General features: G+C 46.6%; 2 protein-coding genes, 1 long non-coding RNA gene and 1 other non-coding gene across 4 annotated transcripts, besides 6 other annotated features; 1 reads left to right on the forward strand and 3 right to left on the reverse strand.

Annotated features, from left to right (window-relative positions):
* Positions 9,165-11,025: an enhancer, noted in NCBI's record as "VISTA enhancer hs1588". NCBI's record gives its function as "enhancer in: forebrain[5/6]" and the evidence as "EXISTENCE:transgenic organism evidence [ECO:0001131][PMID:17130149]".
* Positions 10,206-10,828: an enhancer, noted in NCBI's record as "OCT4-NANOG hESC enhancer chr10:35926423-35927045 (GRCh37/hg19 assembly coordinates)". NCBI's record gives its function as "activates a minimal SCP1, AML or CMV promoter by ChIP-STARR-seq in primed H9 embryonic stem cells {active_cell/tissue: H9 hESC(primed)}" and the evidence as "EXISTENCE:reporter gene assay evidence [ECO:0000049][PMID:30033119]".
* On the reverse strand, positions 10,958-15,007 carry FZD8 (frizzled class receptor 8). Its single transcript, NM_031866.3, has one exon. It carries the CDS (start codon positions 14,138-14,140, stop codon positions 12,056-12,058), a length of 2,085 nt encoding a protein of 694 aa, NP_114072.1. The 5' UTR covers positions 14,141-15,007; the 3' UTR covers positions 10,958-12,055.
* Positions 11,515-12,376: an enhancer, noted in NCBI's record as "OCT4-NANOG-H3K27ac-H3K4me1 hESC enhancer chr10:35927732-35928593 (GRCh37/hg19 assembly coordinates)". NCBI's record gives its function as "activates a minimal SCP1, AML or CMV promoter by ChIP-STARR-seq in naive and primed H9 embryonic stem cells {active_cell/tissue: H9 hESC(naive and primed)}" and the evidence as "EXISTENCE:reporter gene assay evidence [ECO:0000049][PMID:30033119]".
* Positions 12,632-12,926: a silencer, noted in NCBI's record as "tiled region #6098; HepG2 Repressive non-DNase unmatched - State 23:Low, and K562 Repressive non-DNase unmatched - State 23:Low". NCBI's record gives its function as "represses a minimal TATA promoter and a strong SV40 promoter by Sharpr-MPRA in HepG2 and K562 cells {active_cell/tissue: HepG2 | K562}" and the evidence as "EXISTENCE:reporter gene assay evidence [ECO:0000049][PMID:27701403]".
* Positions 13,196-13,355: an enhancer, noted in NCBI's record as "active region_3269". NCBI's record gives its function as "activates an Ori minimal core promoter by ATAC-STARR-seq in GM12878 lymphoblastoid cells {active_cell/tissue: GM12878}" and the evidence as "EXISTENCE:reporter gene assay evidence [ECO:0000049][PMID:35858748]".
* Positions 13,466-13,555: a silencer, noted in NCBI's record as "silent region_2308". NCBI's record gives its function as "represses an Ori minimal core promoter by ATAC-STARR-seq in GM12878 lymphoblastoid cells {active_cell/tissue: GM12878}" and the evidence as "EXISTENCE:reporter gene assay evidence [ECO:0000049][PMID:35858748]".
* Positions 13,883-13,963, reverse strand: MIR4683 (microRNA 4683). Its single transcript, NR_039831.1, has one exon. It is a non-coding gene; the product is annotated as a microRNA 4683 (primary transcript).
* Positions 14,439-15,557, reverse strand: LOC124902528 (zinc finger protein 469-like). The gene is made up of 2 exons (XM_047426128.1): positions 15,341-15,557; positions 14,439-15,124 (listed from the first exon to the last, which is right to left on the reverse strand). The coding sequence occupies exons 1-2, from the start codon at positions 15,555-15,557 to the stop codon at positions 14,439-14,441; spliced, it is 903 nt and encodes a 300-aa protein (XP_047282084.1).
* On the forward strand, positions 16,026-20,539 carry LOC105376494 (uncharacterized). The gene is made up of 2 exons (XR_930820.3): positions 16,026-17,627; positions 19,611-20,539. It is a non-coding gene; the product is annotated as an uncharacterized LOC105376494 (long non-coding RNA).
* Positions 20,540-27,457: the final 6,918 nt, after the last annotated feature.

Genomic DNA, 27,457 nt, shown 5'->3' on the forward strand with positions numbered 1-27,457 from the left:
GAAGTGCAAATACACAATCATAAGACAGTGTAAGGTTCTGTTAATCTTAAGAATATGTGAGTCATTTTAAACCTAGAGTATTTCAGATTTAGTCATTTCCTTCATATGAAATCCAACTTTCCAGCATAAAAATTATAAAGCATAGATACAGTTTTCCAGCATGTAGAATTACAAGCCTAAAATATGAAAACTGTGTGTGGATGAAATATTGCTAATGTGGCTGCAGCATTTTGTTGAGATTTTGATTTTAAAAATATTTTTTACTTCATCTGAACTTTTCTTTTTTTTTGAGACAAAGTCCTGCTCTTTGACCCAGGCTGGAGTGCAGTGGTGTGATTACAGCTCACTGCAGCCTTGACCTCCAGGGCTCAAGCAATCCTTCCACCTCAGCCTCCTGAGTAGCTGGGACCAGAGGCACACACCACCACACCCAGCTAATTTTTAAATTTTGTTTTGTAGAGGTGGGGTCTCCCTTTGTTGCCCAGGCTGGTCTCAAACTCCTGGGCTCAAGAAATCCTCCTGCCTTGGCCTCCCTAAGTGTTGGGATTACAGGCGTGAGCCACCGTGCCTGGCTGGTCTGAACTTTTCTTCTCATAATCTTTCTTCTCTATTCTTTCTTGCTTCTCTTTTCTCACTGTTCAGTTTTACATATGTTCATTTTCTCCATGGATCAGTTAGTTTCACACAAAGAAAGTTTCTACAGCTGAGTAGGGTCCTCCTAAAGTTCCCCCACCCCCACATTATGGTAGTCAATGGAGACACTGAAAGTAATTCCCAGTTCTTTGGGCAAAGTAGTTTGCTCAACAAATATGTATTGAATGGATGAGTTTTTTGAACGGCACAAATTTAAAGGCAGTACAAATTTTATTTTTTGAGTAGGTTAAAGCACTTATGTTTAACCATTCTCACTACTTTGGAAGTCACAGACATCTTATTGAACAGTATAACATCTTGAATTGCCTTCTTTTTTTGTAATTAGAGATTTATCTGTTTATTTTTGAGACAGGCTGTCCCCCAGGCTGGAGTGTAGTCTGGTGTGATCTCGGCTCACTGTAGTCTTGACCTTCCAGACTTAGGTGATCCTCCCACCTCACCTTCCCAAGTAGTTGGGACTACAGGCATGCACCATGACAACCAACTAATTTGTGTTTTTTTGTTTTTTTTTTTTTTTTTAGAGATGGGGTTTCGCCACATTGTCCAGGCTGGTTTCAAACTCCTGGGCTCAAGTGATCCGCCTGCCTCAGCCTCCCAAATTCCTGGGATTATAGGTTTGGGCCATCATGCTTGGCCTGTAACTAGAAGTTTAAAATGTACTATTTTTATTTCAATAGTGTCATTTGTTTCTTAGAAGACTCATGTGAGAAGGGCAGACCAATAATTAGTAGCCTCATTTCATAGATGAAGAAAAACAGGTTCAGAAAAGTTAACAAGATTTCAGGCTCATAAAACACAAGGGCAAGAGTGCAGCAGTTTGACCTTCATTAGTTCTTTTTATATTTTACTTTACTACCTTCAGTAGAAAGCAGAGGTAACTATGGCAGAGAGAGGGGGGACATGTGACTGTATTAGAGTGGAGAACTGTGGAAATCATTATTGCCATTTAACAAATACTTCCAGTTTTTCTTTTTCTGGGCAAGTCGTAGGATTAGTTTCCTGCACCATTTGGGGTGCTATATGCCTATACGACTTCCTTTGTCAATGACATATGTAGGTCTTTGGCCAATGACACATGTAGGTATGACATGTGCCTTTTCCAGGCAGATGCTTTAAGGTTCAGTGCATGAATTGATACATTCCTTCCCCACTGATGCAAGGATTCTGGAAACACATGCCAAGATTAACTTTAGTCAAACCGGATCTTTGAATGCCCAGGGTGAAGAGAATCTCTTCACTGATATGCACGGGACATATGTAAAGTCATAAATTATTTTTTGTTGTGTTCAGCCTCTGAGATTTTGTAGTTGTTGTTTTTGCAGCAAAACCTAACTTATTCTGATTGATATAGAAATTAAGGAGCATAAATGGGTAAAGAATGCATGGATCAATGGGTGGATGGATGGTTAGATGAATGAATGAATGGACCAACATAATAATTAGCAGCATGGTGGTTCCTCAAAAAGTTAAAAATGGAACTATCATATGGTCCAGGAATCCCACTTCTGGGTATATATCCAAAAGAATTGAAAGCAAGGTCTTTGAAGAGAGATTTGCACAGCCATGTTCGTAGCAGCACTATTTGCAATGGCCAAGAGGTGGAAGCAACTTGAATGTCCATCCATGGATGACAGGATAAGTAAAATGTGGATGCACATACAATGGAACATTGTTCAGCCTTAAAAAGGAAGGAAGTTCTGACCCATGCTACAACACGGATGAACCCTGAGCAAATTATGTTAAGTGAAATAAGCTGGTCACAAAAAGACAGATACTGTCTGATTCCACTTATATGAGGTACCTATTGTAGTCAAATTCACAGAGACAGGAAGCAGAATGGTGGTTTTCAAAAGTTGGGGGTGAGGAGAAGGGAGTAATTGTTTAATGGATATGGAGTTTCAGTTTTGCAAGATGAAAAAGTTCTGGTGATCCACAATGTAAATACACTTAGCACTACAGAACTATATACTTACAAATGGTTAAGATAGTAAATACAGTTTATGTGGTTTTTTTTTGAGACGGAGTTTCACTCTTGTTGCCCAGGCTGGAGTGCAGTGGCACGATCTCGGCTCACTACAACCTCCTGGGTTCAAGCGATTCTTCTGTCTCAGCCTCCTGAGTAGCTGGGATTACAGGTGCCTGCCACCATGCCTGGTTAATTTTTGTATTTTTAGTAGAGACAGGGTTTCCCTATGTTGGCCAGGCTGGTCTCGAACTCCTGACCTCAGGTGATCCGCCTGCCTCGGCCTCCCAAAATGCTGGGATTACAGGTGTGAGCCACCACACCTGGCCTGTGTGTGTGTGTGTGTGTTTTTACCACAATAAAAATTAAATAAACAAAACAAAAATGCACATGGAAACATTTTTATTTAAAACAATAAAACAAAAACTTTTTTTTCTTTTTTTGAGATGAGTCTCACTCTGTCGCCCAGGCTGGAGTGCAGTGGCACCATCTCAGCTCACTGCAACCTCTACCTCCCAGGTTCAAGTAATTATCCTGCTTCACCCTCCCGAATAGTTGGGATTACAGGCATGTACCACCATGCCTGGCTAATTTTTGATTTTTTTTTTAGTGGAGCTGGCGTTTCACCATATTGGCCAGGCTGGTCTTGAACTCCTGGCCTCAAGTGATCCACCTGCCTTGGTCTTCCAAAGTGCTAGGATTACATGCGTGAGCCACCATGCCTAGCCCGATAAAACAAACTCTTTATTGATGGCACCTGGCACTTACTCATCCAGGCAGGCACTGTTCTTTGCATTTTATCTGTACCGGAAGTTAATCCTTACAACAACCCTATAAAATAGATACCGTTCTTATTCCCATTTTACAAAGGAGGAAACTGAGGGAAACAGAGGCTGAGTAACTTGCCAAAGATCATTCACTAAAGGAGCCAGGCAGTGGGGTTGAGTCTGCTCTCTTAATCCCTCATTGTTACTGGCTTTCTGTAACTTCCTGGAGATTTTCTAAGTTAATTAAGTTAATATGGTGTTCATTAAGAGATATTTTCCAGAATGATTAAGTTATTAGCTTCTTTTTGGCTCACACTGAGTATGGCCAAGAGGCGTTTTTTGATGATATTGTGCAAAGTTTGCATCCCTGTTGTGGGTTTAACAACCTAGGACCCTCTGTTTGGGCTTTTTCTTACAGAATAATGATGAATGTAGCAGTGAAGCTCTAACATCATATACATCAGCCAGAGTCAGGAAAACCTCCGCACTTACTTGGGAAAGTGGATTTCACTTTCTGGGGCTTTGGTTAAGGACTCTTAACTTCTTGTATGATACCCAGAGACAGAGCAGATTTCTGCACCAAATGAATGCTATCTTATAATTCTACAACTTTAACAATGTGCTAGCATGAGGTAAGGTACTATCAGGTTCCTTTTAAAGAGGTGAGGTGAAGACACATGTATTGACACGCATTCAGGATTCCCCTGACCCACTGTTGGCTTGACCCTTGCTTCCTGGGCTACAATACGACCCTGCACCCAGTCTTAGAAAGTCAGGCCTGTCTTTGGTCTCTGCAGACTGACTGAGGTTTCATTTCCAGCTGAGTTGGTCTCAATACATAAACATCTACTGAACAAGAAGAGAATATTTTATTTTATTTTATTTTTTAAATTCAGGGAATACATGTGCCAGTTTGTTACATGGATATATTGTGCAATACTGAGGTTTAAGCTTCTATTGAACCTGTTACCCAAATAGTGAACATAATTCCCAATAGAAAGTTTTTCATCTTGCCCTCTTTTTTCCCTCCCACTTTTGGAGTCCCCAGTGTCTATAATTCCTGTTTTTATGTCCATATGTAGCCAATGTGTAGTTCCCCCTTAGAAGTGAGAACATGTGGTATTTGGTTTTCTGTTCCTGTGTTATTTCACTTAGGATAATGGCCTCTAGCTGCAACCATGTTGCTGCAATGGACATGATTTCATTCTTCTTTTTGTGGCTGCATAGTACTCCACAATGTATAGCGTACCACATTTTTAAAATCCAATCCACTGTTGATGGGCACCTAGGTTGATTCTATGTCTTTGCTATTGTGAATAATGCTGCAATAAGCATATGAGTGCAGGTGTCTTTTTGGTAGGAAGATAATATTTGAATATCTTTACTAACTAACACATCCACCTTATTGATTCCTCCTAACTTCACAGGTTGGGTTTAATTTCTAGTTTAATAGAATTATACCCTATGTGCACAATTCTTTGTTATTTCCTTATAGGTGAAAAAACAGTTATCAAAAACTGTGTACTGAGAAGTTCTTTCTTGGGGCCAGGTGAGGGCACTCCTGTCATCTCCCAAATACCTCTCAGGGTGACAAAAAGAAAAAAATAACTGCTTTTGTTTAGTCAAGTTAGATGACAATAGCTAGTTTGCTTAGCTAATTTCTATTTCTATATATCTATATAGATCTATATGTCTACAGATCTACAGATTTATATATCTATAAATACATCTACATATCCAGATCTGTATCTGCATATATTTCACTTTGGATGATAATACCACATTCAGTTACATTCACTGGTTTTCAACTCTGGCGGCACATGGGAATTGCCTGGGGAAGTTTTAGAAAACTTTGAATTCTCAGCTGGCACCCCCCAAAATTCTGATTCTGTTGGTTTGGGGTGCAACATGGGCATTGGTAATGATAAAAAAAAAACAAAAACATACCCCAAGTGCTTTTAACATGTAAGCATGGTAAGAACTACTGCTGGAGTGCTAGTTAATTAAAAATGGGCTTGTTAGGGGTGAAAATATTAGAAATTGGTTTTCTAATTTAAATCAGTGTATGATTCACCTGCATGATAAACATGGTGCTATAAAAGCATGCGTTTGTCCCCTGTGAAGAATGGCTGTGCCCCAGATTCGGAAAGCTATCCAACTTGGGTTGTTTCACTAACATTGATCCTAACTTTGCCTTTTGTCCTGGGGCAATTCCTTCCTTCCACCTTTCTCTGGCTACTGGCTGACCTTTTCAGCTGCCACCCATGCTCTTGGCCCCCTCCCGGGCACAGCCTGCAGCATGAGTCTGCTGGGCCAGTCAAGCTCTTCCTCAGGTTGCTCTGTCATTGCAGAGATTTCTGGGACGCTCTCTTGGGTTCCCTAAGCCCTTTTCTCTCCCTGATCCCTGCACTGGCCTTCACGGCACAGTGGTTCTGCTGTTTCTCCTTCTGCCTGGCCGAGGCCAGGCTCTCCCTGAAAGGCCCTCAGGCCTCTGCCAGCCAGGGCCAACACGTTCCACATTTGGCCCCTCTCCCCATGTGAACTCAATCAGTAACAGAAGCCCATCTGACTAATAGAGGATTAGTCCTCTCTCACACTGCTATAAAGATACTCCCTGAGACAGGGTCATTGACAAAGGAAAGAGGAGTAATTGGCTCACAGCTCCGCGTGGCTGGGGAAGCCTCAGGAAACTTACAATCATGGTGGAAGGTGAAGGGGAAGCAGACACATCTTACACAGTCACAGGAGAGCGAAAGAGAGAAAGAGGGAAGTGCCAGACACTTACCAAACAAGACCACTTGAAAACTCACTCACTATCGGAACATCAAGGGGGGGAATCCGTCCCCATAATCCAGTCACCCCCCACTAGGTTCCTCCCTTGACATGTGGGGATTACAATTCAAAACGAGATTAGGGTGGGGACACAGAACCAAACCATATTACTCCCAGTCACTGTGCCTTCTCACTAAGCTAGAACACAGACTCTTAAATGTGGAATTTATTGGAACACGGTGGCTGTAGAAGGCAAAAGGCAGGTGAGCTGGCCTAAGTTGGCCAGGATCCCAAGAGGCAAGCCTTTCCACAGTGCTCCTCTTGTCTCTGAAGGATGGGCGTTCACATTTCCTGTGTAGGCCACCACCAAACTGTGAGAGAACTCTGCTATGATTCTGTAACCAGGTAAACACAGCCCTGGTAAGTTGCTGTATCAGCTATGAATGCATTTTTTTTTTTTTTTTTGAGATAGACTCTTTCTCTATTGCTCATGCTGGAGTGCAGTAGCAGATTCATAGCTTACTGCAGGCTTGAACTCTTGGACTCAAGCGATCCTTCTGTCTCAGTCTCCCAAGGGACTACAGGCATGCATTACCACACCTGGCTTTTTATTTTTTTATAGCGATGGAGTCTCATTATATTACCCAAGCTGGTCTAGAACTCCTGGCCTCTAGTGATCCTCCTATCTCGGCCTCCCAAAGTGTTGGGATTACAGATGTGAGCCACCACACCCAGCCTGAATGCACCTTGTGGTGGCCTCAGAGGTCTACACAGAAGAGTGGGACTGCTGGAAAAGATCTACAGAGACAGGAGTGACAAGTAGGCTTAGTGGCTTCTAGGCCCAGCTGTGCTCCTGACTGTGTGATGTTCAGTAAGCACAGTTGTTTTGGGCTTGTTTTCTAACCAGTGAAATGTGGGATGGTGTGCTAGAACTTCCTACCCTTCGGTGTGCCTGTGAAGCTTGGGGATCTTGTTAAAATGCAGTTTCTGATTCAGTAAGAGAGATCTGAGATTCCACATTTCCCTAATGCCACAGGTTCTTGCCCCTGCTCCTTGTTCATGGGCAGCAAGATTCTTGCCCCTGAGGCCTCTGAACTCTGTAAGTCCTCCAAGATCTTATGTGGTCCTTGGTCACAGTCTCCTCCTTCCCTCCTATCCCCACTAGACATTCCAGTCCTCAGAAACCTCATTTCTCTGCTCATCCCTTTTTTTTTTTGGCAAAGTCTTGCTCTGTCATCCAGGCTGGAGTGCAGTGGTGTGATCTCAGCTCACTGTAGCCTCCGCCTCCTGGATCAAGCGATTCACCTGCCTCAGCCTCCTGAGTAGCTGGGATTACAGGTGCCAGCCACCACATCCAGCTAATTTTTGTATTTTTAGTAGAGACAGAGTTTCACCATGTTGGCCATGCTGGTCTCAAACTCCTGACCTCAGGTGATCCGCCTGCCTCGTCCTCCCAAAGTGGTGGGACTACAGGCGTGAGCCACCGGTCCTGGTCCTGCTCATCCTTCTTTAAGATCCTGTTCTTCCTACATCTCAGTGCTGTGTCATCTTCCTTCCCGAGGGCTCCAGCATTCCAACGCAGATGCTCACCGACCTTGTTTTCCAGCGAAGTTTCTACTCCTTGGTGTGTTTCCATGAACACCTGGCTAGGTAAAACGAGATGGCCTGCGTCTTGCTCACCCTAACAGCACTCACGTGCAGTACTGACGGACATCCCCTGGACTCAGAGTTGACCTCTACATGAGAAATTGTAAAGCGGCACATTTAATTAAGCAAGCCAACCACATCCCACCTCAAAATACTCTTTATTATTCATCCTTTCTTCCATGAAAGCTTTGATATGGTGGATCTTTGGTGAGCATCCCATTCTTTAAATAAAAGTAACTCAGAAGCTAATTTAAAGAAGATATGCTCTTGGAATTTAACGCAGCTCTTGGAATTTAACGCAGCTTAATTACATTTTTAGCATAATGGTCATATGGAGGACTTAATGCAATTGAAGTTAATAAAAGTATTATCACTGTGCGGGAATGTCTTGCGGGTCCTTAAACTTCAGTGTGCACTGATGCAATTTTGGAGCGCTTCAGAGAAAGGATTCAGAATTATGAATACAAAATGTTTGCAGGTCCTCTGGGCGGAGGCTGTGCCTGTGCCTAGGCTAGCTCTCCATGTGCTATTTTTGAATGAATGAATTGAATGAAGGAACCTCCCTAACTTCCTGGTTCTGGGACCCCGTACTACCACCAGATGGCAGTATAGTATCAAATGTGGAAAGCGGATAGACACTTGCACTGATTTGCTTTTTATGTCTCAACAGAACGTTTGCACCTACACTTTAAATTGCATCCCGTGCTCTGCAACTGCTCCTGGTTTTCTTTTGGCAAGACAATCTCACTCTCTTTGCCCAAACTCTGAAGTATTACAGGCACCAGCAATGCGGTCAGTGCAGGTTAAGAAACTGTAATGTGCCATGGTTTACTCCTTAAACTTTCTTATCAACTTTTTTCCCTTCTGTTTCATGGTACTTTCAAATTGCATTTATTATAAAGCAAATAGAAAGTGTTTCACATAACTTCTCCCACAAGCAATTTTAATGAGCTTTGGCTTTAGTAATGGTTTTAATCATGTTAGACTTGATCTTCTAGCCACACAGCAACCACATCAACCCCTCTCCCAATTTGACAAGATTTTGAAAAACTAACACTTGTTTTATGTAATTAAAGACACACCTGTATAGCACACAGAGGTGTTCATTTGTCTAATGCAATTGGCCAGATAGAGACTCGTTTCTTTCTTCCACCCTAAAATCAATTTTGGGGTTTTGTTCCCTTAGTAGATACCATCTGAGTACTGGCAAATATGCAACTCAAGTTTTAGCTTTAAAGGCAAAGAACCAGCACTTATGTCTTAATACCATCTCTAAAATCAGTCTCTAGTGATGACAGATGCAGGTCTTTTTATTGAGAACTGTCCTCAGAATTTAAATTGGGTTTTTTGTCAAATAAGTTCGCTTAAACACACATACATCTTGAGTTATCGAATATAGCATTTTATAATGATATATTGAAGAATAAGGTAAAAAGCTTCAAAGCTGGACATTTTCCCACTGTGCTATATAGTTGAAAATGCGTCAATAATGACAATACTGCTACATGAGAAAGCCAACATGCTAACTTGTGTCTTGTAGCTTTCTCTCCATCCTTCATATGTGGTAAAGACTCTGGGATCTGCTCTCAAAATTCTACTTTATAACTGAATATAAAAAGTTTATGGCTGGCATATGTATACTATACATGAGTCAACACGTGGGTTAGATGTAGGCCACTGATAGGTACCTAAGTTACAAAATAATTCTTTAATGAGTAAAACTACTGGAGAGGTGAACACTTTTACAGTGTCTCTGGCTTTAAAAAATAAGATTGGCATGATAGCTAAAGCAGGGGTTCTAATTGCATAACTTAATTAACACCGAGACTTACTCTGAAAAGGATCTGCAAAATGTTACTACTATGGAGATCCTATGCGAAGCCTCTTACATGAGAAAGATCGGCCAAGAAAGTAGCGTCCACTCTATTAAAATTTTTTTTAGCCACTAAAGATTCCTATTAGGTAAAGTAAGGAGAACAAACATTTTAGCAGGATGTGCAGAACAAAGCCCCTCCCATCCCACAATGATTGATGCCCCATCATTAGCAGGGTAGCTGCCCATTTCTTATCTTGATTGACAGGTTAATAAGGGACCTGGGGCTATCTTTTCAGTATTAACACACAATCTTACCAATTACTTTTAAATTATTGCTAATCTGTCAGAAAATAACAAGCATAAGGAATAAAAATATCCGCGAAACAGAAACGTCTGCTGAAGCAGCTTTTACTTCCGGTGCCTTAAAAGGTTCAGTTAGAAAACTTGCTAGAATTTAGTCAATAGAATTTAGGCACCGGCAATTTTTTTAAAGAAAAACTTGTAGTTTATAATAGTTCATTGGTTCAATTAGGAGCGAAAAAGAAGGGAGTTTTGTAATGCAATTGTCCAGCAAAGGAAAACGCTTTAAATTGGGGGATTATGTGCGCAGACCACCTGTGGGGCATTCAGAGCCCTTTTCTATAAAGCTTCAACCCATGCCTAGCTGCCTGCAGGCTGGCTAACAATGCCGGGAAAAGCTGTTTAAAAGGCTGAGCACTTGTGCCTCCGGTCTTCACTAACTGTTACAAGTCTTCCTCTCTCGCGCTCTCTCTCCTTTTTAAAGTAAAAGTCCCACATCCCTTTAATGGAAGAACTTTAAGGCTCCGCGGTGGCCAATTGGTCTGCACTAAGAGGAGATAGGCAGCAGGGAAAGAAACTTCAGACTATACAGCACATTTGCAGAGGAGAAAAGATCAAAGTTTTTCAAACTCAAAAGACCAAGTTCCCTACAGATTAACCCTATTCATTTAGCTCCTCTTAAAGGAATGATGTGCTGAGCCACTGGGCAGACAGGTAAAAAGTTCAACAATTGCCGAAGCATTCTTCTGCTAATTCAACAGCCTTCTGCTCAAATAAATTAGCTTAGTCTTGACAGAGGAACAATAGCTTTTTCTCTAGGAAAAGCAGCACATTTGGTATACACAAGCACTGAAGGTTATTAAGATGTTAACCCGTTAGTTTAATCCATTGAAGAGCGCCTGCTCCCCTACCAGATTGTCAAGTGACTTCTACTGTAAAGGGTGAGCTATGGTTTAAAACATTAACCTCTACACCTCAGCAATGCGTTCCCTCCCTGGAACACCAGGTGCTTTCAAAATCACGGACTCCAGAAATGAATGCAGGGTTTTGAAACCTTTAGTGATACCATGCAGGATAAATAACAAGGCCTAAGGGGAATTACTGCCTTGCAGAAGTTCCATTTACATCCACTAAAGTGAGAGTTGTTATCCATGGATCAGAAAAGAGCTCCCATGAAAAACACCGTCTTTGGGGAAGGTGCAAAAACTCAATTTTGATTTCAGTTCAACAATGATATTTACTTGGCTAACAACTTAAGAACTAGAGTTTAACAAGTAATTTTCTCCATGCCTAAGGTCAGTGTACAGAATGACAAGCCAGAAAATGTCCATTTTCCCCATGCGTCCTTAGCAAGCACTTTAAAGGTGACAGCTCAGAAGAGGCGGGGGAGAGGGCAATGGTTAAATCATTTATCAAAAGTCATTTTATTGACAAAATAGAATACTTATATCTGTTCTTACAGGGGTAAGCCTCTAAACTTTTTACAAAAAAATGTACACACTATATCTTTGGATATATACATATTTTACACTTTTTTTTTTACAATTTAACAAATAATTATATAAATACATCCTCTAATGTAAGAAACCCGTATTTACGTGGGGTGTATAATTAAGACATTTCTTGTTTGTTTACTTAAGGCATTTGCCTGGTCATTAAGAATACCCAAACCGTGCAATCCCATCAGGTGGCGGTCACCCCTCCTCCAGGGTAAGTCAGGGGTGGGAGTTTACGTAGGAAGAGTCGAGGGAGAAAAAGAGGTTCTCCCAGGTGAAATCTGTGTATCTGACTGCAAACCCAGCCAAGTGCAGCCAGGGAGGGCTCCAAATCTCGGGTTCTGGAAACGCCGCAGAGTCCACCCTCCTCAGCCAACAGAAATTAACGCGTGGCGGGAGGAGCTCCCCGCACATCAATGGAGGAAAAGGGGCTGGGTCTGGGAGGCTTCAATGCCAGGTACTTTGTTCTAAGTGAGTCATTTAAGTCCCAGCTAATGGATACCATTAAGAGTTCATTATCATGCTAATAGCAATCAACACTGTGAAGGGGTGGGAACCTCAGCCCATCAAGTGTCCCTTCGCTGCACTTGGCTCTCCTCGCCCCCCTCCCCACCCCTCCTGGGCGCCCCCTCCCCTCCGCTCAGACCTGGGACAATGGCATCTGCTTTGGATAAGACACGGAGCTCGCCGTGCCCGACCGCCACGTCAGGCCAGTGCTGACGTCGCTGTAGAGGGAGCCCCCGCCGCCGCCCGGCCCCCCGCCGCCGCCGGGTCCCCCGCCGCCGCCGCCCCCCGGCCCGCCGCCACCCCCCGCGGCCGTGGCGCCCGCGCCCCCGCCCACCGCGGCGCCCTTGCTGGCCCAGCAGCAGCGGGTGCACAGGGAGCGCCAGGACTCCAGCGTCTTGCCGGACCAGACCCACACGCCCGAGGTGATGCCCACCACTAGGCACATGAAGTACTTGAGCATGAAGACGGCGTAGTCGGGCCTGCGTGCCTGGTCGGGCTGCAGGTCCCGCAGGCACGGGCAGTTGTGCGTGGCCTCCCAGCGCGGGCGGTTGTGCTGCTCGTAGAAGAGGCAGGCGACCACCACCGCGGCGGGCACGGTGTAGAGCACGGTGAACAGGCCCAGGCGGATCATCAGCTTCTCCAGCTTGTGCGTCTTGGTGGGGCCGTCCTGTTGCTTGATGACCGAGCGGATGCGGAAGAGGGACACGAAGCCGGCCAGCAGGAACATGGTGCCGATGAAGAGGTAGATGACCAGCGGCGCCAGCACGAAGCCGCGCAGGTTGTCCAGGCTCTGGTTGCCCACGTAGCAGATGCCCGCCACCGGGTCGCCGTCCACCGAGCTGAGCGCCAGCACCGCGATGGACTTGACGCTGGGCACAAGCCACGCGGCCAGGTGGAAGTACTGCGAGTAGCCGGCGATGGCTTCGTTGCCCCACTTCATACCGGCCGCCAGGAACCATGTGAGCGACAAGATCACCCACCAGATGGAGCTGGCCATGCCGAAGAAGTAGACCAGCAAGAAGACCACGGTGCACAGCGCGGGGCCGGTGGTCTCGTAGCGCACGTGCTGCTCCACCGCGCCCAGCTCCTCGTACTCGCCGCGCCCGCCCGGGCCGCCCGCGCCCGCGCCCGCCGCGCCCGCGCCCGCCGCCGCGCCGCCCGCGCCCCCAGCGCCCCCCGCGCCCGGCGCGCCACCGCTGCACGCCACCTTCTCGTGGCCCGCCACCAGGCGCACTAGGTAGCCCACCGACACGAAGAGGTAGCAGGCCGAGAGGAAGATAATGGGCCGCTCCGGGTACTTGAAGCGCTCCATGTCGATAAGGAAGGTGGAGACGGTGGCGAAGGTGGACACGAAGCAGAGCACCGACCACAGGCCGATCCAGAAGACGGTGAAGGCGCGCTCGTCCTGGCTGAAAAAGGGGTTGTGGCAGGGCAGCGCGCAGTTAGCGATCTGGCCTGTCTTGACGCGGTTGTAGAGCGGGTGGCGCTCGCTGGACACGCTCACCATAGGCGCGCGGCACTGGCACCCGGGCTCGCAGGGAGCCGCGCCGCCGCCAGGGGGCCGCGCCTTCCCGCCACCGCCGCCGCCGCGAGCTGGGGGCGCCGCCGCGTCCCCGCCGCCACCGCCCCTGCCGCCGCCGCGGTGCGGGGGCCTGGCCCCCGGCGGGCGGCCGTGGCCGCTGCCCGAAGGCGGCTGCTCGCCGGGCGGCGGCGGCGGCAGGCGGCGCGGCGGGCTGGGCGCGGCGGTGGTTAGGTCGGTGCGGTTGTAGTCCATGCACAGCGTGTCAGGGTTGCCTTGCTCGGGCAGCCGGTCGCAGCGCATGCGGTCGGGCCAGGCGAAGCCGTACTGGCGCATGAGCGGCGCGCAGCCGGCCTTGGCGCGCTCGCACACCGAGCGGCAGGGCGGCAGCGGCTTCTTGTAGTCCTCTAGGCAGATGGGCGTGTACATGCTGCACAGGAAGAACTTGAGATCGGGCGAGCACTGGATCTCCACCAGCGGCCAGAACTGGTGCACCTCCAGGCCCGCCTCGTCTTGCGTGTCGTGGTTGAACTGATTGGGCATGTAGGTGTAGTTGTAGCCGATGCCCTTACACAGCGGCACGGTGATCTCTTGGCATGCCAGCTCCTTGGCCGAGGCGGCCGCAGCGCCGCTAGAGCGCTGCAGCAGCGCCAAGGCGGCCAGCAGCGAGGTCACTTCCAACAGGTAACCCCACTCCATGCTGTGCGCCTCGGCCCGGTGCCCTCGCCCTCCAGGCGGCGCGCAGAGGGGTGCCGGGGGGGGGGCCCACGAGAGAGCCGCAGACGGGTACAGCGGGTGATCTGGGGTCTCCCTTATGCTTCGCCCGGGAGGGGGGTCTGCCGATAATCTAACCCCTTCTAGGGGCGCGTCCGCAGCGGCGCGGCCCGCAGCCTGGGCAGGGCCCTTCCGCACTCCTTTCCGCCGCTCCGGGGGTTTGAAGGCGGCTGCAGGCGCGCGCCACAGTCCGTAGGTCCGCTCTGCTGGCCCCGGGTCGCGCTCAGCCCTCGCGGCGCAGAGCGGCCGGGCCTCGGCTCATCGTCCCGCGCTCGCTCGCCTCCTCTCCGCGCGCCCGACCACTTCTCCCCGCCGCGCCGGGCGGCGGTGACTCCGCCGGACAGAGAGGGCGGAGGCGCCGCAAGTTTCCTCTGGGGCCGCGGTGCGCAGTCAAGATGGCTGGGCCGGGCCGCTTGCCGCGCCGGGTCAGCCCTGGCGGCCACCACTCGGCCCCCGGGGGCTCATGCCCGCCCCCAAGGCCAAGCCGCCGCCGCCGCCGCCGGAGTTGGGGACCCGCCTCGGCCCAGGCCGCCGCCCTCTTTCTCCGGCGTCCGTCCTTCGTCCGTCCGCCGCCGGGACAGACGGACCCCCGCCGCCTGGAAAAGTCAGCGCCGCGCTCCGGCCGCAGTCGGGCGAGGTGCACACAGTCTCCTTCCTGCTGGACACCCAGGAGCAAATCCAGACCGGAAGGCGGAGCGGACACCTGAGTGGCGCGGCCCGCGCCCAGCCGCCGCCTCCTCCTCGGCGGGAGCAGCGCCCTTAGCCCAACTTCCCGGCTCCAGCCCCGCTCGCGCCGCGCTGCCGGCTCATGAATATTTATACAGCGCGGACTCGGTCTCCGCCCCCAGCCCCGCGAGCCAATCGCCGGGCGGTAGGGCGGAGTCCACGCGCTCCCAGGGCTCAGCCTTCCTTAAGGCAGTCCCCGAGTGTCCGCACTGCTGTGCGCGCTCTCTGCGGATGGAGAGTTTTGGTAACCTTGGGATTGACCGCAGAGACAGAGTGTTGGCCATGGCTGTCCCCATGGCGCTGAGTGCGTCGGAGGTCTTGGTCCCCTTACCCCGAGTCTGCCCTTGGGGACAGGGACGGGGTTTGGTGCAGCGCGCGCCTCCCCGGCGCGTTTCAAACCAGCCAAGCCCCTGCTGCCACCCTCCGCAAATGTGGGTGATCTGCAGGCGGCTGGGGTCTCGTGCTCCTCGGGGCGGCAGGAAGGTCTCGCAGCAGGCGAGCGCCGGGGAGGCCTGCCGGGGCTCGGCGCTGCAGAAGACCCGGGAAAGGGTGTCCTCCTTGGGGTTCTCAGAACGATGGTTTCTGAGACTTGGAGATGTGGGGGGTGTGGAGTCATTCTAAACTGGGGCTGGACCCGGGACGGCCCGGGTGAGATGCCCCGGAGCCCAGCCTTGGGCGCGCGAGGGGCGCGGGGGACAAATGCCCGCCAGAGACTCTCCTCCCGCCTCCGCTGCGTGACCTGGGGGAGCCTCAGTTTCCCCACCTAGAGAGTTGGGTGATCATAGCACAGATCTCCAAGGGGGCTTTGATAATTAGGTGAGATAAAATATAGGAAGCCCCGAGCCGCCGTGCTTTCTTAGGAAAAATCATTCAATTTCTTTCTAAAATTCAAAACAAACCTCGAAACTTATAAATAGGACAGGCTGGAAACTCTGGGGCTGGATTCCCTGTCTTCCCTTCGTTCTTTCAGGACGTCTATTCATCCATCCCAAGTTCACAGGCTTTTGCCAGAGCCTCCTTTTCTCTGGTGGGAGGCGGCGCTGCGCTCTGGCGTGGACTCCGCGACACGTATCTGCTCTCTGCACGAGGCCGGAGCCGGACCCGGGCTGCTTTTAGCAGCCGCTTGGGCCACCGCCAGCGAACGCTGCCCCCGCCGGCTCCGCCGCCACCTTAAGACGGGCCGGGAGGGGGGCTGCGGGCGGCCCGGGCCGGCGGCCTGGCAGGTTCATTTACGCTTGTTAGGGCGTCCCAGGGGGCTGTCTTTCTCCTAGAATGGAGTGTTTATTTTTTAATTGATGTGCTGTTTCATTTAGCGCTTGTATGGAACTCATGCTGGGGCAGTAATTACTGTAATCTCGGGAACAAGCATTTCAGTTAGCCAGGAGGGTGGCAGAATATGTTTCTCTCTCTCTTTCTCTCCCTCCCTCCCGCCTCCTCCCCATCTCCGTCCCCCTCTCTCCCTCTTCCTCCCTGCCTCTCTTCTGTCTTCCCTCTCTCTCTCTCCCCACCTCCTTTCCTTCTCTCTCTCCCCCACCACTTTCTCTCCCCCCTCCTCCTCTTCCCCTCCTCCCTCTCCTTCCTTCCCTCCCTTTTCTCTCCGCTCTCTCACTCTCTTCTTGTTTCAAGATTTTTGCTATTTGCCAGGTTTCATACCGGAACAAGTACAGTTGGAGAACAAAAGTTGCAGAGGGCGTGGGGACAGAGCAAAAGAATTAAAAGTACATTTGAGGCCAGTTCCGGTTTTCGGGGCGCTGCTGGTGGTGGTGGTAGCTCGTGGTTGTCCGTTCAGAAACAACTCTTGTCATAAAACAAAAATAACCAGCAGTATTTGTAGATTGCTTGAGCTGATGGCATCTATGTCTTCCTCCTCCTGCTTTCTGTAGCTCAGTTAGCAACCTCATTATGAAACATATTACAAGTAGACTGTCAGACCGCACCCTGCCCCAGCGCCCCGTTTTTGGCAAGTTCTGTGTTCTAGGCATATCCACCAATCTATAGTTATACCCCCCTATCTTTTTAACTTTTTTAGTTTTAGTCTATAGAGTTGAACCTCTTTATACTGAAAAACAACACTTCCTTCCCACTTTTGTTTTGGAAAAACTAAAGTCCGTAGGAATTCGGAATTCAAAGGCTTCAGAAATATTAGCTGATTCAGCAGAAAACGGGCTATTCAAAAATACAGACTAGACCTTTACTTGATTAAAAAATTTTTTTTCTTTTCTCACCTCCTGCAAATCGGAATTCCCACTTGTATGTTGAATGTAGAAATTCACTATCTCTGCGGTTGGCACCTTGTTTCCAGAGGGCGAGTCTCCAGAACGCATCAGCTGCAGGTAATTGCCAGAGGTTCCAGTGCTGATCTGAGGGCAGCGGTGCAGGCAGAGCCCCAAAGACCAGCAAGGGTGCTGCACTGCCCGCACCACAGATGGGAGGGGCTGGTTTCCAAGAGCAACACAGATGGTGAAAAGTTTCTGTTGCTTTTCTTCCACGGGGAAATGTCAAATAGTGAAGTTTAGAATTACACTACATAAATTTGCTAGAATTGGGTAAAAACAAACTGACATTTGAAAATTGAAATTGAAGCTGAAAATGGTTGATTTTGGCTCTTAATTGGCTTTAAATTTTTTTTCTTTTTTCTTTTGAGACAAGATGAAAAGTTTGATGATGTGGAATGTGGAAATTTTGGGTAAGTATGTTAAGTTTGCATGAGAAAATAAGCAGACTGAAGTTCAGAATTTCAAAAATCATATCAGCTATTTGGGAGATCTTAGTGATTTGTGAGGTTAAAACCAGTTACATAAAAGTCATGACAAATGTACTTTTAATTGAGAGAATATAAGAATCGCATTTTACATCTACTGTTAAATTAAACGGCTACTTGGTAGTCTTTCAGAGAAGGGAGAGACTTCTGTAGCCAATTAGTGCGTAAAAGGTAATGATGGGTTACCTAGAAGTAACCAGAACATATATCAACTTCTATGGCTAAATAATGATATTTTCATTGTATGTAAAGCAGCTGTTTTTTAGGGGAGGGGAAATAGCTTTAGTAGTGACATAAATAATGTAGGGAAGTTTCTAAAGGGATTTCTGAGCAGATGGCTTGTTGCTGAATGGCCTGCAAGCAAATAATGTAAACAGTTGGAATCAGGAATCTACCTCAGAGGAGGGAAGGTTTTACAAAACGTTGGCTACCGAGTTAGACAGGGGACTATCAATACTGTCTGTAACAAATTTAAGAAACTTTGGGGAAATCATGTTCCAGTGGATTACCATCTAAAAATCCAATATAAGAATCTGGATGGAAGAGAGAGCCTGGCATATACTAACAGAATGATACGTTCCAAAGATTAAATGAGGAACTCTTTGGTAACTAATACAATTTCTCAGGTGTTATAAACTGCCAAATATTGGCCAGATACGGTGACTCATGCCTGTAATCCCAGCACTTTGGGACGCTGAGGCAGGCAGATCGCTTGAGTCTAGGAGTTCGAGACCAGCCTGGGCAACATAGCAAAACCCTGTCTCTACAAAAAATACAAACATGAGCTGGGTGCGGTGGCATGTGCCTGTAGTCCCAGCTACACCAGAGGCTGAGGTGGGAGGATCACTTGAGTTTTGGAGGCTGGGGCTGCAGTGAGCCATGACTGTATCACTGCACTCCAGCCTGGGCAACAGAGTAAGACCCTGTCTCTAAATAAATAAATGCCAAATATTATTTTCTCTCAAGAAAACAGTTAAGTACTATATTATTAGATAATATAAAATTCTTATCACTGGCTGGGCTCAGTGGCTTACGTTTGTCTTAGTGCTTTGGGAGGCCAAGGTGGAAGGATCGCTTGAGGCCAGGAGTTGGAGAGCAGTCTGAGCAACATAGTAAGACCCGAGTCTACCAAAAAAAAAAAAACCAAAAACAAAACAACAACAACAACAAAAAAAACAACAAAAAAACAAGGCCAGGCACGGTGGTTGTTCACGCCTGTAATCCTAGCACTTTGGGAAGCCGAGGTCAGAGGATCACTAGAGGTCAGGAGTTCGAGACCAGCCTGGCTAACATGGGGAATCCTTGTCTCTGCCAAAAATACAAAAATTAGCTGGACATGGTGGTGGGTGCCTGTAATCCCAGCTACTTGGGAGACTCAGGCAAGAGAATTGCTTGAACCTGGGAGGCAGAGGTTGCAGTGAGCTGAGATTTTGCCACTGCACTCCAACCTGGGCAACACAGTAAGAGTCTGTCTAAAACAAAAAAAAAAATTAGTCGGGCCTGTAGCACGCACCTGTGGTCCCAGCTACTTGAGGCGCTGAGGTGGGAGGATCGCTTGAGTCCATGAGTTTGAGGCTGTAGTGAGCCGTGATCATGCCTGTACTCCAGGTTAGGTAATAGAAAGAGACCCTGTCTCAAAAAAAAAAAAAAAAAAAAAAAAAAGACAAAACCCACAACAACAATAACAAAACCTCTAATGGTAATATTGGGGCATCTTGGTGTTTTAAAAATCTGCCTTTCAAAGGGTTATGTCTTGAGTCTCTCAGTCCATAAATGGAAGGGGAGGTAGAGGTGAACTGGCCTCATCAATCTCTGCTAGCTTTAAACAGGTGAGATTATTTTTATATTCTTCCTTATTAACATGAAACTCAATTGAAGTGCTGCTGCTTCTGTTCTCTCCACTGCCAGGAAAGAGATCCTGTTGGAAGGAAGTACTCTTTGCTGTGTCTGCTGTCACCAGGCCAAGGTGCACATGGATGGAGATAACAGGCCCACCTGTGCCACTGGCTGGCAGGCCCATGCTCACTTTACATGCAGCTGCTGCTTTGGAATACGGCGACCGCACTGCCATTATTTAAGTTGATAATTATTCTAAAATTTGTTTTAAAAATCAATAATTGATTTTTTTTCTCATCCACATGGGAATATTTGCCAGATATTGAAGCTCTTATTATGGCATGCATTGTGCATTAGTTTGGTAGATTTCAGGTCCAGTAAAGACCTCCCGGGTAAAAGTGGCTTAGCCAAGAAGGACATCTCAACATATCAATAAGTCTAGAAGCAGACATTTCACCGTCAGTTCTTTCTGCAGCTCCAGGAGGTTAGGGCTGCAGGTTGGCTTCTAGACTGTTGGTTTCCCCTTTGGTTACAGGGGGCCTCCCACCACTGAATTGTCACATTGGACTGTGGCCAGGGCTGGAGGACTGCTATGATATTTTTCTTCCCTTAGGAATGACAGCCTTTCCCTGAAGGCCCTTGGCTAACTTCCCCTTTGGGCAACCTGGTCTGAATCTGTCACTTGGCCACTCTTAGCTGCAAGAGAGGCTGTGAAAGTGAGGATCTGGAGAGTGGCTGTTGATGGGGACACTGGTAGCCAGGAAGGGGAGGAGGGACAACCCACAGTGTCAGATGCACATTACTGTGTGAAAGCAGTGAACTTCCAAGCAATACCATTGAGTCAACTTCCCTGGTCTTACAGCGGAATTTATGCAGGGTTATAAATTAAGCATGATCTAGATCCAAGAAAACCTTGAGATCTACATTTTTTTTTTGAAGTTCACACAATACAGTTCTTTGTACATTTAGTATGAAATAAACGTCAAGCAGTTTACAGCGCATTTTATTTGCAGTGTGCATTCACTGTAGTGGAACTCACTCCCTATTTCCTTTTTCTTCAGAACTCCCCCTCCCATTTGGAGACTTAACTAAAAACATTGACACAGGCTGGGCACGGTGGCTGACGCCTGCCATCCCAGCACTTTGGGAAGCCAAGGTGGGTGGATCACCTGAGGTCAGGAGTTCGAGACCAGCCTGGCCAACATGGTGAAACCCCATGTCTACCGAAAATACAAAAATGAGCTGCACGTGGTGGTGGGTGCCTGTAATCACAGCTAGTCGGGAGGCTGAGGCAGGAGAATCACTTCAACCTGGGAGGCAGAGGTTGCAGTGAGCCGAGATCATGCCACTGCACTCCACCCTGGGCCAGAAGAGTGAGAGAGTGAGACTCCTCATCTCAAAAACAAACAAAAAACATTGATGCAATTCTGGAGTTTTAGTTTCTGTGTTTCTTTTAAGCCTATCCATGAAACATTTTGTTAGTTTGTCCATATAACTTTTTTGTTCGTTTGTTTTCATTTTTTTTTTTTTTTGCCTGGATGGAGTCTCACTCTGTTGCCTAGGCTGGAGTGTAATGGTGTGATCTTGGCTCACTGCAACCTCCAGCTCCCAGGTTCAAGCGATTTTCTTGCCTCAGCCTCCTCAGTAGCTGGGATTACAGGTGCTCACCACCATGATCGGCTTATTTTTGTATTTTTAGTAGAGCCAGGGTTTCACTATGTTGGCCAGGCTGGTCTTCAACTCCTAACCTCAAGTGATCTGCCTGCCTCGGCCTCCCAAAGTGCTGGGATTACAGGAGTGAGCCACCAGGCCTGGCCTGTTTGTTTTCATTTTTCAAAAGTTTTTATTATTTTTAAAATAAGCCTACATCATGCTCTGAATAACTTTTTTTTTGTATTGACTAATTTAAATATAATGCAAGGGAAATTTTTGAATTCCAACTGAACTGCTTATGAATGTGCAGGAAGCTTTATATCAAAAAATTGGTCCAGGCAAGGGTTTATGTCTGGTAACAATGATCCATTTTAAATGGTGGTCTGAAACCACCATTTACTGATAAAATTTTCCATCAGTAATGCAAATTATAATTATTAGGGCACTCAGGACATGGAGATGGTAGGGATGACAAAGGCATTTCTTTCTATTTTAGTCTATCTTTGACTGGATTCAGGTAAACACAGCATTTTTTTTTTTCTAGAGGTGACAGCATTTGTTTTTTGTTTGTTTTTTTTTGTATGAGTCTTGGTTGCTCTTAGAAGCAAATGTACTTCTATAGGGATAAGCTTATAGTATACAGAAGTATAATTTGTAGTAAAATGATACCATATAGATAAAAGAAAAAAATGATGCATTAATATGTTCAGCTTACTGAAATAGTATCACAACATAAATATGAACTCTGGGCCTGCTGTCTTAAAACACTGTCTGGCAAGTTACAGTTTGAAAAATTCTAGTTTAGAATGAGTTCAAAGTAAAGTCAATAAATATTTACTTAGTACCAACTGTTCTGGTTCCTGTTGCTGTACAGCAGTGATCCCAAAACATGGTGGCTCAAGGCAACCATTTTATTTTGTTCCTAATTTTGAGAGTCAGGAATTTAGGAAAGGCTTGACTGGGCAGGTCTCTTGCTTGGTGCCTGTCCTGCCATTGAACTCAGCTGTCCACAGGACTAGGGTCATTTGAAGGCTTGAGGGGGCTAAACAACCAAGCTGGGGGGGACTCCTGTGGTGGCCTGTTGATGCTGACCGTCCCCTGGAGCCACCCACGTGACCTTTCCAGCATGGCAGCTTCAGAGTGGTTGGACTTCTTACATGGCAGTAGGGGGTTGGGGGGGTGGGGCACTCCCCAGAGCGAGCATCCTAAGAGAACCAGGTGAATACTGCATGCCCCTTTATATGACATCTCCTCAGAGTCACACAGCATCACTTCCGCCCCACTCTGATGGTATGAGCACACTCAGATTCAAAGGCAGGGGCATGGACCTACCACAAAATGGAAGAAATGCCAAATATTTGGGGATCATATTTAAAAACTGCCACACTAACCGAGTCCCAGGCCCTTTGTTAAGTGCAAGGATGTGAAGATGAGTAAGACATTACGTCTTCTACAGGAAACTCACATGGGACAGTCACAGGTGAATGAGTCCAGTGCTGTTCAGTAGATATTTACATGGTACACGGAAATAGTATTAGGGAACATGTGAATGTCCCTAACAGAGCTAAGAAAGGACTTCACAGGAATTTTGAAGAATGATCAGAAGTTTATTTGAGAAGAGGAGCAGAATTCTAGGCACACGAGAAAGCACTGACAAATCACAATGGTAGGAAATTGCCTCTGCCTTTGCTGTTAATGCAACAGCAAGAGTTTTCCTTGGACAGAAATATTTTTATTTGTATTCAATCTGTTGATATAATTCATACCTTTAAATAGGTTACATTTGGAGTCTATAGAGCTCAGTATCTATTACAATCTTTTCAACTTGGAGTAACAGGAAGCCTGAAAAGATATTTACCTTGCATTACCCGAGACCTGAAGGTGGGCTGGCTTCGAAGTTGGCTAATTCTCTGACTCCACAAGTTATCAAGATGGGTTCTTTCCATCTTTTTCTCTGTCAGCCTGATAGGTTGGTTTGTTGCCCTCATGATTACAGAGTGGTTACAGACTGAAGCTCACATCTTCACATGCCAATGTTCAGAGGCACAAAGAGGGACATTCTTCTTCTCGTGCCTCATTTTCAGTGCCAAGAAGGCTTTCCCGGAACTGATTTTCTCTTATTTCTCATGGTTCAGAATTGGGTGACAAGTCACATCACTGAGCCCTGCCTGACCTGACCACGAGGGGTCACTTGGACAGAATCGGGGTTTTGCTAGTAAGGAAGAAGGGTAGGGTCGCCTTGGGTAGGTCACCAAGGGTGTCTGCCCCAAACCCTAGGGACTGTTGCACCACATGACAAGAGGCCCCCATCTCTTTGTGTCTAACTAACTTCTGCTGTCCAAGGTCAGATGCTTTATAGCCTAGTGGTCATTGAAGCAGGTTCATATGCTCTTCGTGTGTTAATTAACAACAAAACTTAAGTCCTTTCTCCTCCTCTTTTCCCCATAACTTCATGCAGGTGGGATCTGCTAATAAGATTCTAGTTATTTATTTCACCAGAACAACTTGCTTTGCTTACAGAACAACTTGCTTTGCTTAAGAGTACTTTCCCGCTTTAAGAAATCCAGTTGCCTGCAGGGCCTCTAGACGAGGCCAGGTTAAAGAATGACTCTGTCTAGCAGAACGAGCTGGGTGGTTTGTATGTTTGCTCATGTCCTTGTCTCCCCACAAACTCCCTGTGGGGTAATTACATGCAGGAACACCTTACTAAACAGCTAGGAAGCATAAGGACTGCCAGAGATGAAAATTTATTTCTCACCTGTATGTTTTCCAGAACCTCAGAGGGTTGAGTAAATAACAGCTTCCAAGAACCTACAGAGAACATAGAATTCAGGGGGACCAGGTGGTGTCTCAGTCTGTGGGTATATCCAGTTCTTTGCAGCTAATGTCCCTAAACAAATCAGTTTCTACAGAACTATGCCCTTTTGAAAGTTCTACAGTTTATTGGTTCTTTATATTTCCTCCAGCAGTATCCATCTTATTTTCTGTACATGATCTTATTTTTGCATCATTCTCTGTTCTCTGGAAGATATTGGAGGTATGTGGAGCCATTTGTTCGAGCGTCATTTCTGTTTTGAACATGGTAATTGTCTTTTTTTGGTAGGTGCTCGTTTGGGAAGCTCCTGGCTTACTAAGTCTTCCCTACAAGCTTTTGGTAGAATGTGATTGCTGGACTTGTTACTACAGGATTTTCTACCAGGGGATTCCCCTATGCTACCCAAGCTGAACCAGATTCACCTTCCTGGCTATATATTTATTTTCAAGATGGAGTCTCACTCTGTCACCCAGGCTGGAGTGCAGTGGCATGATGTTGGCTCACTGCAACCTCCGCCTCCAGGATTCAAATGATTCTCCTGCCTCAGCCTCCCGAGTAGCTGGGATTACAGGCACCCACCACCAGGCCCAGCTAATTTTTGTATTTTTAGTAGAGATGGGGTTTTGCCATGTTGTCCAGCTCGTTTAAAACTCCTGACCTCAGGTGATTTGCCCACCTCAGCCTCCCAAAGTGCTGATATTACAGGCGTGAGCCACCGTGCCCAGCCTTACAATTACACTCCTGCTTTCACCCTCATTCGAGAGTCTCTGCCTTAGCAAGCAACATTGCTCATGGTGAAGGATATTTTCCTTGATTAAGTTGGTGATAGGATGTCCTGCTACCTTGGGGGCTAAAAAGGAAGGATTCATATTTTTACTTGTTGGTCTATCACGCTGCTGATTATTAATCATTTCCTTCCTTCCTTCCTTCTTTCTCTCCCTCCCTCCCTCCCTCCCTCCCTTCCTCCTTCCTTCCTTCCTTCCTTCCTTCCTTCCTTCCTTCCTTCCTTCCTTCCTTCCTTTCAAGAGATAGGTCTTCAGGGTCTTGCTCTGTTGCCCAGGCTGGAGTGCAGTGGTGTGATCATAGCTCACTGCAGCTTCAAACTTTGGGCTCAGAGATCCTCCCACTTCAGCTTTATGAGTAGCTGGGACTACAGGTGCATGCCACCACACCTGGGTAATTAAAATTTATTTTTATTTATTTTAAATTTTTTTTAGAGACAGAGTCTCACTACATTGCCCAGGTTCTTCTTGAACTCCCAGCCTCAAGTGATCCGCCTGCCTTGGCCTCTTAAAGTGCTGGGATTACAGGCGTGAGCTACTGCACCCGGCTTCATTATGTTTTCCACTGTGATCCATGTGGTCTCTGGATTCCTATTCAGAAAAAGATGTCTATCTGTATATGTGCTGTGGCATTGTCTCTTAATTTTGTTAACTTCTTGGTCTTGTCCTCCAATCTGAAAATAAAAGGACAGAAAACTTCACCTGATGTTTTACCTGTCAAAAATCTGAAAGGATTCATTTTCTATTAGGATTCTACTGGAGTTTGGTTGTCTTGTGGTAATCAAATACCCAAGGTTTCTGCTGGAAGGTAATCTATTGGAATTGTACATCCTGATTTTTTTTTATTAGAGTAAAAATGTAGGTATAACTAAACCGAGTGAATCCTAACCTATAATTCATAATTGCAGACTGGTGAATATCACCCTTGTTCCTAAATCTCCCAAGTCAGCAATAAAAACTGTACTTAGAAAAAATGAAGTTTGGAATATATGCTAATGGTAACTATAGGGAATAGTTGCTTTGCTTAAGAATAAGAGTGACCAGAATGAGGATGGAAAGTAGTTTGATCTGCGTTATATTGTTAATGTATTGGAGGATGGCAAGAGAGGAGACTGGATGAGTGGAGGTGGCATAGAATAATGATCTCAGCTGCCATGGATGACAGCAGGTCTTTTATGCGCTAGGCTCTGGGCTGGCCCCCTGCTCCCTTTTCTTTTCTTTTTCTTTTTCTTTCTTTTTAAATAATGTAGGATGTTTCAGCAACAAATAACAGTTAATCCAACTCAAACTGGCTCATGCAGGATGGAAATTGTCATCTTACAAAACAAATTGTCATCTTACAAAAGTAGGGCAGTTTTCCAGGTTGATAGATACAGATTTTCAAAAACGTCATCAAGGATTCAGGTTCCTTCTGTTTCTCTGCCCTGTCCCCCTCAGGGGTTTTACCCATGGTGACCTCAAAGTCAAAAGATGGTGGCAGGATTTTGGCCTCTTCCCAGCAGTCTCCTGGCAGCTTTCATTGGTAGAATCAGTTTGAATTCTCATCCCTAAACTAATCATGGGCAGGAAGAATGGGATGACCACAATGGGCTTAAGTCAGGTTACCCTATGCTTGGAGCTGGGAATTAGTTCATCTTTCTCTGAAGTACCTAACCATGTGGAGGAGGGTGAATACCTGAATAAAATTAAGGGTTATAAGAAATAAAAAAGGGGCCAGTTGTGGTGGCTCACCCTTGTGGTCCTAGTGCTTTGGGAGGCTTGAAGCAGGAGGAGCGCTTGAGGCCAGGAGTTTGGGACCAGCCTGGGCAACATAATGAGACTCTCTCTCTGCAAAAAGTAAAAATAATTATCCAGGTATGGTGGTGTATGTCTGTAGTCCCAGTTACTCAGGAGGCTGAGGCCGGAGGATCCCTTGGGTTCAGGAGTTTAAGGCTACAGTGAGTTGTGATTGTGCCACTGCACTCCAGCCTGGGCAACAGAGCAATACCCTATCAGAAATAAAGAAATAAATAAACAAATAAAAGAAAAAAAGAAAAGAAGGGAAGTGGAGGTGGATTTGGGTAGACAATAACAATCTGCCCCATGACTGTATCACTTTATCTACCTTGATCTCTGTTTCCATCTCTATGTATTTACAATGTCTAAGCCTTATGACAGGTATGCAAGATAGGTTTTTTGTATTTTGCTTTGTTTTTCAGACGGAGTTTTGCTCTTGTTGCCCAAGCCGGAGTGCAATGGGGCAATCTCGGCTCACCACAACCTCCGCCTCCTGGGTTCAAGCAATTCTTCTGCCTCAGCCTCCCGAGTAGCTGGGATTACAGGCATGTGCCACGACGCCCGACTAATTTTGTATTTTTAGTAGAGACGGGGTTGCTCCATGTTGGTCAGGCTGGTCTTGAACTTCTGACCTCAGGTGATCTGCCCACCTTGGCCTCCCAAAGTGCTGGGATTACAGGTGTGAGCCACTGCGCCTGGCCAAGATAGGTTTTAAGGGTTATGTTTTACAGATGAAGCTAATTCCATGGCCACTTATTATATCACAGTTTTTAAACATTGTGGAAAAGTGGAACTCTCTTTTCCAAACAAAATCTTGCAAAAAACTATAACTTATAAACACATAAAATATCTATGTTTAAGTTCTGATTATAAATAGCTTTATAAACTCAAAA

This window comes from Homo sapiens, chromosome 10 (assembly GCF_000001405.40).
Source record: "Homo sapiens chromosome 10, GRCh38.p14 Primary Assembly".
In the NCBI taxonomy this organism is placed as follows: domain Eukaryota; kingdom Metazoa; phylum Chordata; class Mammalia; order Primates; family Hominidae; genus Homo; species Homo sapiens.

Coding starts and splice junctions, on each gene's coding strand:
- LOC124902528 (XM_047426128.1), bottom strand. CDS start 15,557: ATGACTCCACACCCCCCACATCTCCAAGTCTCAGAAACCATCGTTCTG. Junction 15,125..15,340: donor TGGCAGCAGGGGCTTGGCTG/GTTTGAAACGCG, acceptor GACTGCCTTAAG/GAAGGCTGAGCCCTGGGAGC.
- FZD8 (NM_031866.3), bottom strand. CDS start 14,140: ATGGAGTGGGGTTACCTGTTGGAAGTGACCTCGCTGCTGGCCGCCTTG.